This window comes from Homo sapiens, chromosome 6 (assembly GCF_000001405.40).
Source record: "Homo sapiens chromosome 6, GRCh38.p14 Primary Assembly".
NCBI classification, from domain to species: domain Eukaryota; kingdom Metazoa; phylum Chordata; class Mammalia; order Primates; family Hominidae; genus Homo; species Homo sapiens.
Genome location: NC_000006.12, coordinates 122843144 through 122860220, shown reverse-complemented (window position 1 = coordinate 122860220; position 17077 = coordinate 122843144). Strand labels below are relative to the sequence as shown.

The window sequence follows — 17077 nt, the reverse complement described above, 5'->3', positions numbered from 1 at the left end:
CAGCTGATGGCAGCTCACTGCAGAAGTTACTTACAGGTGGACTATCTCTATACAAAATGCTTGGGACCAGTTTTTCAGATTTCGGATTTTCTCTAAACACAAAATTTCCTTATGTTTTAATTACATGAAACAAAGTTTTGACTGCCTTTTGACTGTGAGCCATCACATGAGGTCAAGTGTAGAATTTTCCACTTGTGGCATTCAGGGCGACAGACTTTCCATCCCAGAACCATTGGCCCAATTTTTCCGTAACCTTGTGGAAAAGACCCTGGTGCTGGTGAACGCTGCTGTGACTTACTCAAAGCCTTGATTGGCCACATTTTGGTACTACGCCAAGTTTGAGCTGGTTCCTCCCACCCCTGCTGAGATCCCTAGAGCTATTCAGAGTCTGAAAAAAATAGTCAATAGTGCTCAGACTGGTAGCTTCAAACAACTCACAGTTAAGGAAGCTGTGCTGAATGGTTTGGTGGCCACTGAGGTGTTATGTGGTTTTATGTCGGAGAGATCATAGGCAAGCGTGGCATCATTGGCTATGATGTTTGAAGACCAGTATTTAACATCTGATTATATTTGATTTATTATTTGAATGTTGTTGGACCATGTGTGATCAGACTGCTATCTGAATTAAATAAGATTTGTCAAAATTAAAAAAAAAAATTTCCACTTGTGGCATCATGTCAGTAACCAAAAAGTTCTGGATTTTGGAGAATTTGGGATTTTGAATTTTTGGAGTAGGGATGTTCAAATGGATATATGCATATCCATTGTTATGGAATGAAAATATAACACACACTTGTATATGTATGTATATATATAACATTTTGTCCCTAAAGTGTTATTTCAATTTGTAGAAGTAAACTGGAAGAATAGATACCATCAGCATCTTTCCAGGGTCATTCCGAGAACCTTCCAATTATAATAAATTATGTAAAATAAAACAAAAAATAAAACCTCTTGCCATGTTGTCATGGAGGCCTCCCCTAAATGTGTATGCCACAAAAGAAGCAGTGTCAGCAGCAAGGGGGAGGATCCCAGAGAAAATAGAAGAAGGGGATGCCTAAGCACCATACATCATGTTGCTTGTACAATACAAAAAGAAAAACAATTAAGCAGATTTTCCAAAGTAGAAAATAATTGGTCTTTATATAGAGTCGACAATTTATATAGAGTTGACAACTTCAGAAAAAGATAGGGCTGATTTTCCAAGTCACCCTAATAGATTGTACCTTTTCTTATTTAATAGACATTTTTACTGAAGCTTAACATATATCAAGGACCCAAATCCTAAGTCAATGTATTTACACAAAATGACCACACTTGTGAAATGAGCACTGAGACGGAGAAACAGAATGCACTGTTCCAGCACCTCAAAAGACCCCTCATGCTCTTTTCCAGTAAGTAATGACCCTTCCAGAGGTAACTGGTATAACCATCCTTCCTTCTAATACCACAGAATAGTTTTACTAATGTATTCCTAAGTAGAAACAACTCTGCCATTTTGTAATAGTCATATTATTACCATCTGGTATTAAATCAAAGACACAGTAATTAGAGACACTTGGTTTCCTTAGGGTATTCTTCAGGGCATGTGCTTTTCTGAAAGCCCATCATCTTGAATTATCAAGAACTGAAAGTGCCAGTTTTAAAAAGATGACTTTTTTTATCACAAAGTCCTAAACCAGAAGAGTAATGATGTTGAAAGAAGCCACTGTCAGGTGAGCAAGAGCATTACTACTGCAGCATAAAATACAGCCTGGCTCCAGCCATAAATTCATACTGAACTTCTTTTATGAGCAACACTTTATTATTTTATTATTATCAAGAAGAAATACAACTTTGCCTTTAACCACATTCAAATCTTCTGGGGGGAATATATTAAATATATAAATGTGTGAGAAATGAACTTCAGCACTGTAATACATTATGAATATATTTGAGGCATAAAATCTATGATAAATGGATAGAACCAGTACTAGTACATTTCATATTTAAAGAGTGGCTGCTAATACATCATTCTGGCTGAGCAATTTATAGATTGGGTAGCTATTTTCCTGGCTCTTCATCCCAACAATTCATCAATTTTTATGTTTTTTAAAAGTTGGATGATAAGTTTATCAGACTTTGATTTTCCTACTGCCAATTTTTTTTTCAGGGCAGAAATGGGGAGAAACAAACTGACTTATAAACCTTCACTATTCCTTGGTAGTTTTTTTCCTCAACCATAGACTCTGATAAATACAGTATGAGAAGAAGGGGAAGAGAAATGTTATTGCATGAATTTATTAAGCTATTGGGTAGATATAGTACTTTACTCATAGTTGCTCAACTAATAAGGCACATATAGTCCTACTTTCTATGAACTTACAGTTCAAAATTAAATTATATCAACCTTATATTACATCATAAACACAGAGACAGTCACCTTTATATTTTCTGTAGGAAGGGAAGAAAGCAACCATATGAAAACTCCTGAATATTACAAAAGCTTTTATTATTGAATGTACTCTCACCTACATTCACATACGGCCCTGTCTGGTGTTCTGGTGATTAAGCCACAGCACTTCTAACAAAGTAATGAAACAACCTTGTAGAAGCCTAGCTCGTGAAAATGGAGAAAGTAGTCAACACCTCTATTTGATTCTATCTCAACTTCTTCCTAATCCTATTTCAGACTGATACTGTGTTTGTTGGAGAAATTTGTGAATTTCACAAATTTCTCCAACTTGTGAAAAACAGTTTCCCTCTCTTTAAAAGCTTTCACTCAAATAAGGAAAACAAAAATTGTGTCTTCAAATTATTTATTTGATTTGGTACAGGAACAAGGTAAATAGATAAGAATAAACAGAAAAAGATGATCATAAGCATAACCAATGAGAATAGTTGCTAATTCTTAAAAAGATCTAGATGTCAACATTCTAATATATTGTACCTCAGAAAAATAAGGAGAAAGGAAGGCTTTTTTTTTAATGTAAGCAAATAGCTTATCTTAAAGACTTGTGCAGAGAGGACTCACACATAGAGGGAACCAGTAGGATGAAAATGGAGCTCCATAAGAGCGACAGTCCATGCTGAGGTAGCAGCAGAGCCTGATTGAGCTTGTATAGGCAGTTTTTTCCTTGATCTAGGCAAGGGTGAGTTCTGAGGGTACAAAGACACTGTTGAAAGCAGTAGTTTTCTGATATAGTTTGGATTTGTGTCCCCACCAAAACCTTATGTTAAACCATAATCCCCAGTGCTGGGGGTGGGGCCTGGTGGGAGGTGACTGGATCATGAGAGTGGATTTCTTGAGTGCTTTAGCACCATTCCCTTGGTACTGTCCTCATGAGAGTGAGTGAGTTCTCACAAGATCTGGTTGTTTAAAAGTGTGTGGCACCACCCCCACCACCTTGCTCCTGCTGTGGCCATGTGAAGTGCCTGCTCCCCGCTCACCTTCCACCATGATTGTAAGTTTCCTGAAGCATCCCCAGAGGTCAAGCAGATGCTAGCATTATGTTTCCTGTACAGCCTGAGAACCATGAGCCAATTAAACCTCTTTTCATTATAAATTACCCAGTTTCAGGTATTTCTTTAGAGAGATGCAAGAGTGGACTAATACATTCTCAAAGTGTTGCCCCCAGACCAGCAACATCAGCATCACCTGGGAACTTGTTAGAAATGTAAATTCCCAGGCTGCGTTCAAGACCTACTGAATCAGAAACACTGGAGGGGAGGCCTGGTGACCTGTGTTTCAAACCCCTCTCCCCACCCCAGGGATTCTGATGAATGCTGAACTTTGAGAACCGCTGGTCTCAAGGAGAGGTCAGTAGACTTTTTCTCTAAAAGGCCAGAGAAGAAAAGTTTTAGATGTTGCACTTCATACATTCTCTGTCACAACCAAACTCTGCTGGGTAGTGCAAAAGAAGTCATAGATAATATGTTAACAAATGGGCATGGTGATGTTCCAATAAAATTTTGTTTACAAAAACAGGTCAGAGACTAGATTTGGCCCATGGGCCATTGCTGATCCCTGATACAGAAAACAAATGGGTGGGAGGAAGAAGAGGCAGCAGGTTTGCTCCTCCTCTGAAAAAAAGTAGACTTCAGACTGAAATATCAACACCATAACCATCGTTTATCCAAGTTTTGTGTGTATCATTTTTCTAAAAGAAATGTTCTCTGTGATTCTGTTTGGCCTCAAGGAACAAGGGGGTAAAAAGGAGCTTGACAGCTCTTCCTTCACTAAAAAAAAAAACAAGCAAACAAAACAATAACAACAACAAAAACCCATAAGACTAAGCACAAGGAAGCCAAGGAAGTTCGAGACCACAAACTTCGCTGAATGTCCTGCTGGAACATTCAACAAGCCTCAGGTGGAAAGTATTACCTTACATCCAAACAGAAGCTCTCAAATTCCAACATAGATCAGAATTACCTGGACAGGTTCTTAGATCACTGGGCCCCACCCCCAGAGTAGACGAGGGTGCAGTCTGAGAATTGCATGTCCAACAAGTCCCCAGGTGATGCCGATGATGCTAGTCCAGGAACCACACTTTGACAACCACTGCTCCAAAACATGCTCTTCTCTTCCTTCTGTGTTCCCAATCTTAGTTGGCAAAACCACCGCTACCTATTTAGGCACCTAAGCAAATACTTGGGTCATCCTTGACTCCTCACTATCTCTCACCCCCATATTAATCAATCACCAAGTCTAATCAAGTTTGCCTTATCAGCATCTTGGAAATATAATTCCTCTTTACTGTCCTCATTGCCCATGAATTAGTTTAGGCAAGGGTTTTCACACTTTCCACATAAAAGTGAAATTATTTTCACATTAGAAAATAATTATATTCTATAAGTACAGGCCATAGGGGTAAAAGATCTTTTTTCTTTCTTTCTTTTTATTTTTTTTTTTTCCGAGACAGAGTCTCACTGTGTTGCCCAGGCTGGAGTGCAGTGGCATGATCTCGGCTCACTGCAACCTCCGCCTCCTGGGTTCAAGCTATTTTCCTGCATCAGCCTCCTGAGTAGCTGGGATTACAGGCACCTGCCACCGCACCTGGCTATTTTTTGTATTTTAGTAGAGATGGGGTTTTGCCATGTTGGTCAGGCTGCTCTCAAATTCCTGACCTCAGGTGATCCACCTGCCTCAGCCCCCCGAAGTGCTGGGGTTACAGGTGTGAGCCACTGTGCCTGGACAAAAATCTGATTGTATAAGTTACTGGAAACAAGACTCAGAATCCTTCAACCATCCTGAGGGGTGAGGGGGTCCATGTTCCTGTACAGCTATTCTCCATTCATTCAGTAGGGAAGCCTTGACTTAGGCCCTCATCATCACCTGTCTAGGCATTCTACCAATTCTAGATCAAACACTTCACTCTTTCCACTAGCCAAAGTTATTTACTTTTAATTACTGTATAAGATAACCAAATAGTCTAAGACCAACCATGTTATTTCTCCTTGTGCACTTCAAAATGAACTTCAAATTCATTTAGCTTTGCATACACTCTGTATCAGTCACTAATTCCAACAGGATACAGATGTCATACTTAAAATACGATAATTCAAGGAAGGTTTATTTACAAAGGTGAGAGTTTAGGGCAGTGCTTCTCAAGTAACAGTAGTTTTACTCTTGGGACATCTGTTGATGTCTGGAGACATTATCAAGACTAAGGGGGGTTGAGCGTACCCCTGGCATCTAGTGAGTGAATGCCAGGAATATTGCTAAACATCCTACAATGTGCAGGACAGCACAGCACAGCATAGAATTAGACAACAAAATGTCAAGGCAAAATGTCAAGAGTGGCAAGGTTGAGAAACCTTGCTACAGAGTAAGGTCTTGTTAAATGCTTGTCAAACTGAATTAAATGAGAAGTGCAAACAAACTTCCCAGGTGCAACTAACTCTGCTTGAGTCAACTGAAGAGAAATCATGATGGGTAACTGGTGTGGAAAGATGGAAACTGCACCTCACGTTGGGCCCTTGTATTAGTCAGGGATCTCCAGAAAGACAGAACCAATAGGATGCATATAAATTCTATATTAGAGGAGATATGTTATGGGAATTGACTCAGCAATTATGAAGGTCCAGAAGTCCCACAGTCTGACATCTGCAACTGGAGACCCCGGCATGATGGTTAATATTAGGTGTCACTTGATTGGATTGAGGAATGCCTAGATGGCTGGTAAAGTATTATTCCTGGGTGTGTCTGTGAGGGTGTTGTCAGAGGAGACTGACATTTGAGTCAGTGGTCTGGGAAAGGAAGACCTGCTTTCAGTATGGGTGGGCACCATCCAATTGGCTGCCAGCACTGCTAGAACAAAGCAGGTGGAAGAAGGTGGGATAGGTTTGCCTACCAAGTCTCCTGGCTCTCTGTTCTTCCTGTGCCAGATGCGTGCTTTCACTTCCCCTGTCCTTTGAGATCAGGCTCCGGGTTCTTTGGTCTTTGAACTCTAAGACTTGCACCCGCAGCTTCCTGGGGACTTTTGGGCCACAGACTTTTGGGCCACAGACTGAAGGCTGCATTGTCAGCTTCCTTAGTTTTGAGGCTTTCAGACTTAGACTGAGCCTCTACCGGCTTCTCTCTTTCCCCAGCCTGCAGACAGCCTAATATGGGACTTCACCACGTAAATGTGTGAGCCAAATCTCTGTAATAAACTTCCTTTTATATATACATATATCCTATTGATTCTGTCCGTTGGGAGAAGGCTGACTAATAACACCAGGAAACTGAGTGGCAAAACTCCCAGTCTGAAAACCAGGGAAGCAGAGATGAGGGTGGTGGTGTAAGTCCCAGAGTCCAAGAACTCTGCCATCCAAGAGCAGGCAAAGATGGGTGTGCCAATTCAATGGGAAAGAGAGAGAGAATTTGCCCTTCCTCCACTTTTTTATTGTCTTGGCATTCAATGGATTGAATGATGCCTGCCCACATTAGTAGAGAGGATCTTCTTTACTCAATTCACTGATTCAAATACTAATGTCTTCCAGAAACACCCCCACAAACACCCCTATAAAAACGTAAAAACAATGTTTTACCAGCTATCTGGGCATTCCTTAACCCAGTCAGGTTGACACATAAAATTAAGTATCATGACCCTGTTATCTGGATTAAATTCACACTTTTGAAGGTATTGATCAGCCACAATTAGTATCTTTTATGTGGCTGAGGTCTTTCAAGACTTGCCTGAGGTGTTTTGTGATCCCAGAGTGTCAACATTTGGCTACAAGGAAAGGTCTCAGCAATAAGCCTAGGTATTTGATATGGTTTGGATTTGTGTCCTCACCCAAATCTCATGTCGAATTATAACCCCAGTGTTGGAGAAGGAAACTGGTGGGAGGTAACTGTATCATGGGGGCAGATTACCCCCTTGCTTTTCTCATGATAGTGAGTGAGTTCTCAAGAGATCTGGTTGTTTAAAACTGTGTAGCACCTCCCGTTTCGCTCTCTTCCTCCTTCTCTGGCCATGTAAAACGTTCCTCCTTTCTCTTCATCTTCTGCCATGATTGTACATTTCCTGGGTCCCCCTGCCTCAGTCATGCTTCCTGTACAGCCTGTGGAAGTGTGAGTCAATTAAACCTCTTTTCTTTATAAATTACCCCGTCTCAGGTATTTCTTTATAGCAGTGTAAGAATGGACTAATACAATATCCATTCAAGGTTGAAAATAGAAAAGTCACTTAATGCATTCACAAATTGTTTATTGAAAGCCTACTATATTCCAAATATCATTCAAATAAACTTGAAAATACAATTCAATATAATCTAAAGAAGGTTTAGCTCTGATGTTCCAAGTAGAGCTTTTCTTAACTTCTAGTTTAAAAAATACGATTTTTTTTTTCTTCTAGATTTCCCCTTATATAGGAAAGACAGCTGGGCTCCAGTGATAAGCCCTATGACATGAAAAAGAGAGAGAAGAGATTTCCTTTGCCTGTTGCCAACACCCTCCAATATATTGAATGAAGCCACTGTTAAGAGAAAAACTTGGGGCTGTAACGTTCCCCCCTTTCAAACTAGGAAGGTGCCAAGAGACCAAAGAATGGTTCAGACAAGTCCAGATTGATGAGTAGGTGATTTATTTTGACTTACATACAGGGCATTCCTGGATGGCGGCATGCTATTAAGCTAATTTTTTGGCTCTTTGCTGACTGTGTTTGAACAATGAGACTGTTTTTCTTGGTATGTTCTCAGATATTCTCCAGGATGTTTGGTTTCTCAGGGACACCTGGGTTGGGCACTATGGCCTTGGCTCACCACCCAGCCTTCAGGGTTCAGGTGGCAGACATATGCCCTTAGGTATCCTGGTGAGGGACCTGTCACACTACAACCACCTATGAGTTGCATAAGGAGAGGTTCTATTTTCCAACCACATTGTGCTAGAAAAAAATCCAACATGAATTTGTGTTATTAACTAATTTGGGGCTGGGAATATATGCTTATGAGTTATTCTACAGAAATAACTAGTAATATCTTTCTCAATAAAAGCAAAATAGTTGATAGTCTATATTGTGTTGTTTGTATATCACTTGCCCCAAATATATCCATTTATTGTTCTATGTCAAAACAGGCAGCATAACACATGGTACAGTTATCCCTATTCTCCTTCCCGCTTCCACAACAGAAATAAGTAATCAGCCATGGCACTCTTTGCCTGGACATGGCCTCAGATTTCTTCTGTACATAGCACTTCAGGGAGCCACTATTAATGGAAAAGAATTGGCAATTCAGGTAAAATTTATTTGTGTTTGGTTGGCAAGAATATTGACTTGGGTAGGCCCTATTAACGGATAAACATGTACCTGGAAAGAGTGACTCAATGACACTATTACCTTATTTTATTTAGCCTATCTCCTTAGTGACACCTGATAAGATAGAATGTGTAACAGTTTAGTTCTGATAAGAGGGATGGGGCCATTGGAAAGAAATTTTCCAAGGCAATATGTGATTAAATGTATATAACAAATGTGTATCTCTAATCTGGAACTCTTTCCGGATCTCCAAACACATATATCTAAATGCCTACATGACAACACTACTTGCATGTTCAACAGACATATCCCCAAATTAAAATGCCCTAAGAGTTTCTGCTTTCTACCAGTTTGGAATAACAGAAATTGGATTTAACCACCACCAGCAGCATCCTAGGCTTTTACATCTACCGAATCAGACAACATATATGAAACAATAATTTTCAGCCATTGGACATTGGTAGTGTGCACAGTGATTCCCCAAGAGAAGAAAAAAAATGAGCAAGATGAGCTCTATCCTTACTATCAGCTTACTGTTTGGACAGTTTCCAGGCTGTAGAGGAGACAGAAGAAACCCAGAGCCAAGGTATCTCACAGAGTAGAGAAGAAGAGATCTGAGTTGAGAAAGGCCAAAACAGCTAGAATCTGTGAGGCAGAGAGGAGGGAGCTACACAGAGAGGATTCAAGAACTGCAGAGGAGCACCTCAGTCATTGTCTGAGTACTGATGTGAGCATACGCGACAGAAAACTATCTGAGACTGGAGAAAACCCCTTTAAAAAACAGCAGACAGAAAAATTCTAAACACTCACACAGGGTGGAAAATACTCAATGTTTCCACCAACCAAAGGAGAAAGACCTTGAAATACATAGAGCATTGGGTAAAATCCTCAGAAGAGTGTCCGCTTAGTATTGGGCATAAGTTAAATTTGAACCAAAAGGTACCCTGGATTCACCCTAAAAAAGCTTAAGGCAGGCCTCAGAAGGATCAAACTGAATCCAAGCAACTTAACTAACTGCATGCCAGAACAATGTTCAGCACTATTTAAAAGAATACAAAATAGGTGGGGAAAGGGCAAGAAGGCAGGGGAATCACCATGTTTGGGTGGACCTAGTTTCTAATGGCTTGCATTTACATATCAAAGGTTGCCAGCCTGGCTCTAAGAGCCGGGGCTATACAAGAAACTTTTCCGGCTCTCCCTCTCCCTCTGTCTCCCTCTCCCCACGGTCTCCCTCTCATGCGGAGCCGAAGCTGGACTGTACTGCTGCCATCTCGGCTCACTGCAACCTCCCTGCCTGATTCTCCTGCCTCAGCCTGCCCAGTGCCTGCAATGGCGCCGCCACGCCTGACTGGTTTTGGTGGAGACGGGGTTTCGCTGTGTTGGCCGGGCCGGTCTCCAGCCCCTAACCGCGAGTGATCCCGCCAACCTCAGCCTCCCGAGGTGCCGGGATTGCAGACGGAGTCTCGTTCACTCAGTGCTCAATGGTGCCCAGGCTGGAGTGCAGTGGCGTGATCTCGGCTCACTACAACCTACACCTCCCAGCCGCCTGCCTTGGCCTCCCAAAGTGCCGAGATTGCAGCCTCTGCCCGGCCGCCACCCCGTCTGGGAAGTGAGGAGCCTCTCTGCCTGGCCGCCCATCGTCTGGGATGTGAGGAGCCCCTCTGCCTGGCTGCCCAGTCTGGAAAGTGAGGAGCGTCTCCGCCCGGCCGCCATCCCATCTAGGAAGTGAGGAGCGCCTCTTCCCAGCCGCCATCACATCTAGGAAGTGAGGAGCGTCTCTGCCCGGCCGCCCATCGTCTGAGATGTGGGGAGCGCCTCTGCCCCGCCGCCCCATCTGGGATGTGAGGAGTGCCTCTGCCCGGCTGAGACCCCGTCTGGGAGGTGAGGAGCGTCTCTGCCCGGCCGCCCCGTCTGAGAAGTGAGGAGACCCTCTGCCTGGCAACCACCCCGTCTGAGAAGTGAGGAGCCCCTCCGCCCGGCAGCTGCCCCGTCTGAGAAGTGAGGAGCCTCTCCGCCCGGCAGCCACCCCATCTGGGAAGTGAGGAGCATCTCCGCCCAGCAGCCACCCCGTCCGGGAGGGAGGTGGGAGGGGGTCAACCCCCCGCCCGGCCAGCCGCCCCATCTGGGAGGGAGGTGGGGGGTCAGCCCCCCCGACCGGCCAGCCGTGCCATCCGGGAGGGAGGTGGGGGGGTCAGCCCCCCGCCCGGCCAGCCGCCCCGTCCGGGAGGTGAGGGGTGCCTCTGCCCGGCCGCCCCTACTGGGAAGTGAGGAGCCCCTCAGCCCGGCCAGCCACCCCGTCCGGGAGGGAGATGGGGGGGTCAGCCCCCCCACCCGGCCAGCCGCCCCGTCCGGGAGGGAGGTGGGGGGGTAAGCCCCCCGCCTGGCCAGCCGCCCCGTCAGGAAGGGAGGTGGGGGGGTCAGCCCTCCGCCCGGCCAGCCGCCCCGTCCGGGAGGTGAGGGGCGCCTCTGCCCGGCCGCCCCTACTGGGAAGTGAGGAGCCCCTCTGCCCGGCCAGCCGCCCCGTCCGGGAGGGAGGTGGGGGGGGTCAGCCCCCCGCCCGGCCGGCCGCCCTGTCCGGGAGGGAGGTGGGGGGGGTCAGCCCCCCGCCTGGCCAGCCGCCCTGTCCGGGAGGGAGGTGGGGGGGGGTCAGCCCTCCGCCCGGCCAGCCGCCCCGTCTGGGAGGTGAGGGGCGCCGCTGCCCGGCCGCCCCTACTGGGAAGTGAGGAGCCCCTCTGCCCGGCCAGCCGCCCCGTCCGGGAGGGAGGTGGGGGGGGTCAGCCCCCCGCCCGGCCGGCCGCCCTGTCCGGGAGGGAGGTGGGGGGGTCAGCCCTCCGCCCGGCCAGCCGCCCCGTCCGGGAGGTGAGGGGCGCCTCTGCCCGGCCGCCCCTACTGGGAAGTGAGGAGCCCCTCTGCCCGGCCAGCCGCCCCGTCCCGGAGGGAGGTGGGGGGGGTCAGCCCCCCTGCCCGGCCAGCCGCCCCGTCCGGGAGGTGAGGGGCGCCTCTGCCCAGCCGCCCCTACTGGGAAGTGAGGAGCCCCTCTGCCCGGCCAGCCGCCCCGTCCGGGAGGGAGGTGGGGGGGGTCAGCCCCCCCGCCCGGCCAGCCGCCCCGTCCGGGAGGTGAGGGGCGCCTCTGCCCGGCCGCCCCTACTGGGAAGTGAGGAGCCCCTCTGCCCGGCCACCACCCCGTCTGGGAGGTGTGCCCAACAGCTCATTGAGAACGGGCCAGGATGACAATGGCGGCTTTGTGGAATAGAAAGGCAGGAAAGGTGGGGAAAAGATTGAGAAATCGGATGGTTGCCGTGTCTGTGTAGAAAGAAGTAGACATGGGAGACTTTTCATTTTGTTCTGCACTAAGAAAAATTCCTCTGCCTTGGGATCCTGTTGATCTGTGACCTTACCCCCAACCCTGTGCTCTCTGAAACATGTGCTGTGTCCACTCAGGGTTAAATGGATTAAGGGCGGTGCAAGATGTGCTTTGTTAAACAGATGCTTGAAGGCAGCATGCTCGTTAAGAATCATCACCAATCCCTAATCTCAAGTAATCAGGGACACAAACACTGCGGAAGGCCGCAGGGTCCTCTGCCTAGGAAAACCAGAGACCTTTGTTCACTTGTTTATCTGCTGACCTTCCCTCCACTATTGTCCCATGACCCTGCCAAATCCCCCTCTGTGAGAAACACCCAAGAATTATCAATAAAAAAATAAATTTAAAAAAAAAAAAAAAGAATACAAAATATAGCCCCTGACAACACAAAATGTATAATGTCTGTCTTCAAATAAAAAATAACAGACATCAAGCCAGATGCAGTGGCTCATGCCTGTAATCCCAGCACTTTGGGAGGCCAAGGCGGTCGTATCACTTGAGGTCAGGAGTTCAAGACCAGCCTGGCCAACATGGTGAAACCCCATTTCTACTAAAAATACAAAAATTAGCCAGGTGTGGTGGTACATGCCTGTAGTCCCAGCTACTTGGGAGGCTGAGACAGGAGAATGGATTGAACCTGGGAGGCAGAGGTTGCAGTGAGCCAAGATCATGCCATTGCACTCCAGCCTGGGTGACAGCCTGGGTGAGACTCTGTCTCAAAAAAAATAATAATTTTAAAAACAATAATAATAACAGACATCAAAGAAGGAGGATATATGACCCATAACCAAAAGGAAAGTCACTCAATAGCAACAGAACCAGATTTACAGAGATGATGAAATTAGCAGACAGAAAATTTCAAATTCTACTATAATTATACTCCATACAATCAGGGAAGTGGAAGAAAATATTAACATTATGAGGGAAGAAGTGGTAGAAATATTATAAAAAGAATTACACATAGTTTGCACTGATAAAAATACAATATCAGAAATTAAAAATATAATGGAAAAGATTAACAACAGATTAAACCCTACAAAATTGAAGATCAGTGAACTTAAAAATATTAAAGTAAACTTAAAGCAATAGAAAATGTCCTAGATAAAGCGCAGAGAAAAAAAGACTTTTTAAAAAATGAACAAAGCATCATGACCTTATCAATGATACTGTTTGACACTATCAAGCAATCTAACAGCATGTAGTTGAAGACTCAGTAAAGAGAATTGACAGAAAAAAAACCCTTAAAAAAAATGATAAAAAATGTTCTTAATTTGATGAAAACATAAACCCACATATCCCAGAACCTCTAAGAACCCCAAACAGAAGAAACACAAAGAAAACCACACCAGGGGCACATGTTCTCAGGACCTCCTGAAGCTTTGTCACAGACTACATATATATATATATATATACACATATATATACACACACACACACACACACACATGTATGTGCATAATTTATGTATATGTATGCATATAATTTTAAAAGAAAGAAAATACTGGGTTCCAGTGATAAGCCCTATAAAATGGAAAGGAGAGAAAAAAGATTTCCTTTGCCTATTGGCAATACCCTCCAGCATATCAAGTGAAACTACCGTTATGAGAAAAACTTAGGACTATAACATTCTCCCCCCACAAACAAGGAAGGTGCTGAGAGACCAGAGAATGACTCAGACAAGTCCAGCTTGACAACTAGATGAGTTTATTAGGACTTACATACAGGGCACCACACCAAGGCATACCATAATCAAATTGCTGAAAACACATGACGAAGCAAACAGTTTCAGCTCAACCAGGAAAGAAAAGTATATTAAATTCAAAGGACAAAGATCAGTATGACAAAAGAATTCTTGTCAGAAACTATAAAAGTCAGAAGACATTGAAGCAACCAAAGTTATTGATTGGGGTAGGGGTAGGAGGTGGGGGGAGGCAGGAACTGCTGACCCAGAATTCCATATCCAGTGAAAATATCTTTCAAAATTGAAAGTAAAATGAAGATGTTTTCAGAAAATGCTGAGGGGATTAGTCACCAGCAGATGTGGACTAAAAGAAATGTTAAAGGAAGTTCTTCTGATAGAAGGAAAATTATACCAGATGCTAATTTGGATCTACATGAGGGAAGGAAGAGCACTGTAAGTAATCAATATGTAAATAAATAGAAACATTGACACGTTCTAAACTGAGCTCCTCATCTTCTTCTGAGAATCTGCTTCTCACTCAGCCTTTTCTTATCACATTTAATGGCCACTCCATTCTTTCATGTTCAGGTAGAACATTTGGGGGTCAACATTGATGTGTCTCTTTCCCACACCTCCTACATCACATCATCAGCAAAGGCTAATGGCTCTAACTTCAGGACATGTACAGGGTCTTGCCTCACAGCTGTCTCCCCACTACTCACTGCCATCGTTTTGTCTCTGTTATTGCAATGGCCTCATGCTAGGCCTCTCTACTTCCACTGTGGCCCCCACTCCTGTGTATTCGCAATGCAGCAGTCAGAGGACTGACTCCAAAGGCTTCCGAAGGTTCATGTCATACCTCTACTCACGAAAGGCCAGTGGTCCCTTTCATGCGCGTCCGTATGAAGAGACCACCAAACAGGCTTTGTGTGAGCAACATGGCTGTTTATTTCACCTGGGTGCAGGCGGGCTGAGTCCGAAAAGAGAGTCAGCAAAGGGAGATAAGAGTGGGGCCGTTTTATAGGATTTGGGCAGGTAAAGGAAAATTACAGTCAAAGGGGGTTTGTTCTCTGGCGGGCAGGAGTGGGGGTCGCAAGGTGCTCAGTGGGGGTGTTTTTGAGCCAGGATGAGCCAGGAAAAGGACTTTCACAAGGTAATGTCATCACTTAAGGCAAGGACCGGCCATTTACACTTCTTTTGTGGTGGAATGTCATCAGTTAAGGTGGGGCAGGGCATATTCACTTCTTTTGTGATTCTTCAGTTACTTCAGGCCATCTGGGCTTATACGTGCAAGTCACAGGGGATGCGATGGCTTGGCTTGGGCTCAGAGGCCTGACATTCCTGCCCTCTTATATTAATAAGAAAAATAAAACAAAATAGTGTTGAAGTGTTGGGGCAGCGAAAATTTTTGGGGGGTGGTACGGAGAGAGAATGGGCGATGTTTCTCAGGGCTGCTTCAAGCGGGATTGGGGCGGCGTGGGAACCTAGAGTGGGAGAGATTAAGCTGAAGGGAGGTCTTGTGGTAAGGGGTGATATTGTGGGGATGTTAGAAGAAAAGTTTGTCGTATAGAATGATTGGTGATGGCCTGGACACGGTTTTGGATGAATTGAGAAACTAAATGGAATAACAGAAGGAGAAAAACAGGTATAAAAGTTCTAAGAATTGGGACGACTCAGGATATCTGATTAGAGAGTGCCTAAGGAGATTCAGCATAGTCCTGCCAGCAAAGATTATTTATTTACTTCAAGAGTTAGGAGTGGCAGTTTGGGGATAGCACCAGGAGATATCAGCTGTGATGGCTTGGAAAAACAGTGTAAACCGGCAGTGTAAACAAGAGCAGGGCATGTATGAGTAGTTGAGAACGGTGAATAGGAGTATGACTAGACAGAAGATAGTAGGGATGACAAGTTTTTTGGGGGGCACAGTCTAAGTTGGTCTGGTGTCTGGAATGAGACTGGGGCCTAATAAAAAGGAGCGTCTATACAGGAGCTTAAATGGGCTGTACCCTGTAGCATTCCGAGGACAGGCCTGAATTCTGAGAAGGGAAAGTGGTAAAAGTATTGTCCAGTCCTTTTCGGTGGCTGAGCTTGGTGAGGTGTGTTTTTAAAAGACCTTTAGTCCATTCTACTTTTCTTGAAGACGGAGGACCGTAAGGGATATAAAGGTTTCACTGAATACTAAGAGCCTGAAAAACTGCTTGGCTGATTTGACTAATAAAGGCTCATCTGTTATCAGACTGTATTGAGGTGGGAAGGCTAAACTGAGGAATTATGTCTGACAGAACGGAAGAAATGACTGCGGTGGCCTTCTCAGACCCTGTAGGAAAGGCCTCTACCTATCCAGTGAAAGTATCTACCTAGACTAAGAGGTATTTTAGTTATCCGACTCAGGGCATGTTGAGTAAAGCTAATTTGCCAGTCCTGGGTGGGGCAAATCCTCGAGCTTGATGTGTAGGGAAGGGAGGGGACCTGAATAATCCCTGAGGAGCAGTAGAATAGCAGATGGAACACTGAGAAGTTATTTCCTTGAGGATAGATTTCCACGATGGAAAGGAAATGAGAGGTTCTAAGAGGCGGGCTAGTGGCTTGTACTATAGCATAACCTGCCTTTGCTGGTGTGTGGCGATTAGGCCTGGTGGAACCGCCATCAATAAATCAAGCGTGATCAGGGTGAGGAACAGGAAAGAAGGAAATATGGGGAAATGGGGTGAATATCAGGTGGATCAGAGAGATACAGTCATGGGGGTCAGGTGTGGTATCAGGAATAACATGGGAGGCCAGATTGAAGTCCAGGCCAGGAACAATGGTAATTGTGGGACTTAAAGAGTGACTACAGCTGAAGGAGCCGGGGAGCAGAAAGTATATGCGTCAGGTATGAGGAAGAAAATAGATTTTGGAAGTTATGAGAACTGTAGAGAGTGAGTTGAGCATAGTTTGTGATTTTGAGGGCCTCTAAAAGTATTAAAGCAGCGGCAGCTGCTGCATGCAGACGTGAGGGCTAGGCTAAAACAGTAAGGTCAAGTTGTTTGGACAGAAAGGCTACAGGGTGTGGTCCTGGCTCTTGTGTAAGAATTCTGACCGTGCTAACCATGCCTAGGAAGGAAAGAAGTTGTTGTTTTGTAGAAGGTGCTGGGGTTTGAGAGATCAGTCGGACACGATTGGCAGGAAGAGCACGTGTGTTTTTATGAGAATTATGCCGAGATAGGTAACAGATGAGGAAGAAATTTGGGCTTGATTGAAGTAATGGGGGCTGTCTGTGAAGCTTTGCGGCAGTACAGCCTAGGTAATTTGCTGAGCTTAATGGGTGTCAGG

At 45.0% G+C, this 17077-nt stretch overlaps 1 pseudogene, besides 2 other annotated features; it reads left to right on the top strand.

Moving 5' to 3' along the window:
• On the top strand, positions 205 to 644 carry ATP5MGP2 (ATP synthase membrane subunit g pseudogene 2; annotated as a pseudogene).
• Positions 14477 to 15070: an enhancer, noted in NCBI's record as "OCT4-NANOG-H3K27ac hESC enhancer chr6:123166296-123166889 (GRCh37/hg19 assembly coordinates)". NCBI's record gives its function as "activates a minimal SCP1, AML or CMV promoter by ChIP-STARR-seq in naive and primed H9 embryonic stem cells {active_cell/tissue: H9 hESC(naive and primed)}" and the evidence as "EXISTENCE:reporter gene assay evidence [ECO:0000049][PMID:30033119]".
• Positions 15071 to 15663: an enhancer, noted in NCBI's record as "OCT4-NANOG-H3K27ac hESC enhancer chr6:123165703-123166295 (GRCh37/hg19 assembly coordinates)". NCBI's record gives its function as "activates a minimal SCP1, AML or CMV promoter by ChIP-STARR-seq in naive and primed H9 embryonic stem cells {active_cell/tissue: H9 hESC(naive and primed)}" and the evidence as "EXISTENCE:reporter gene assay evidence [ECO:0000049][PMID:30033119]".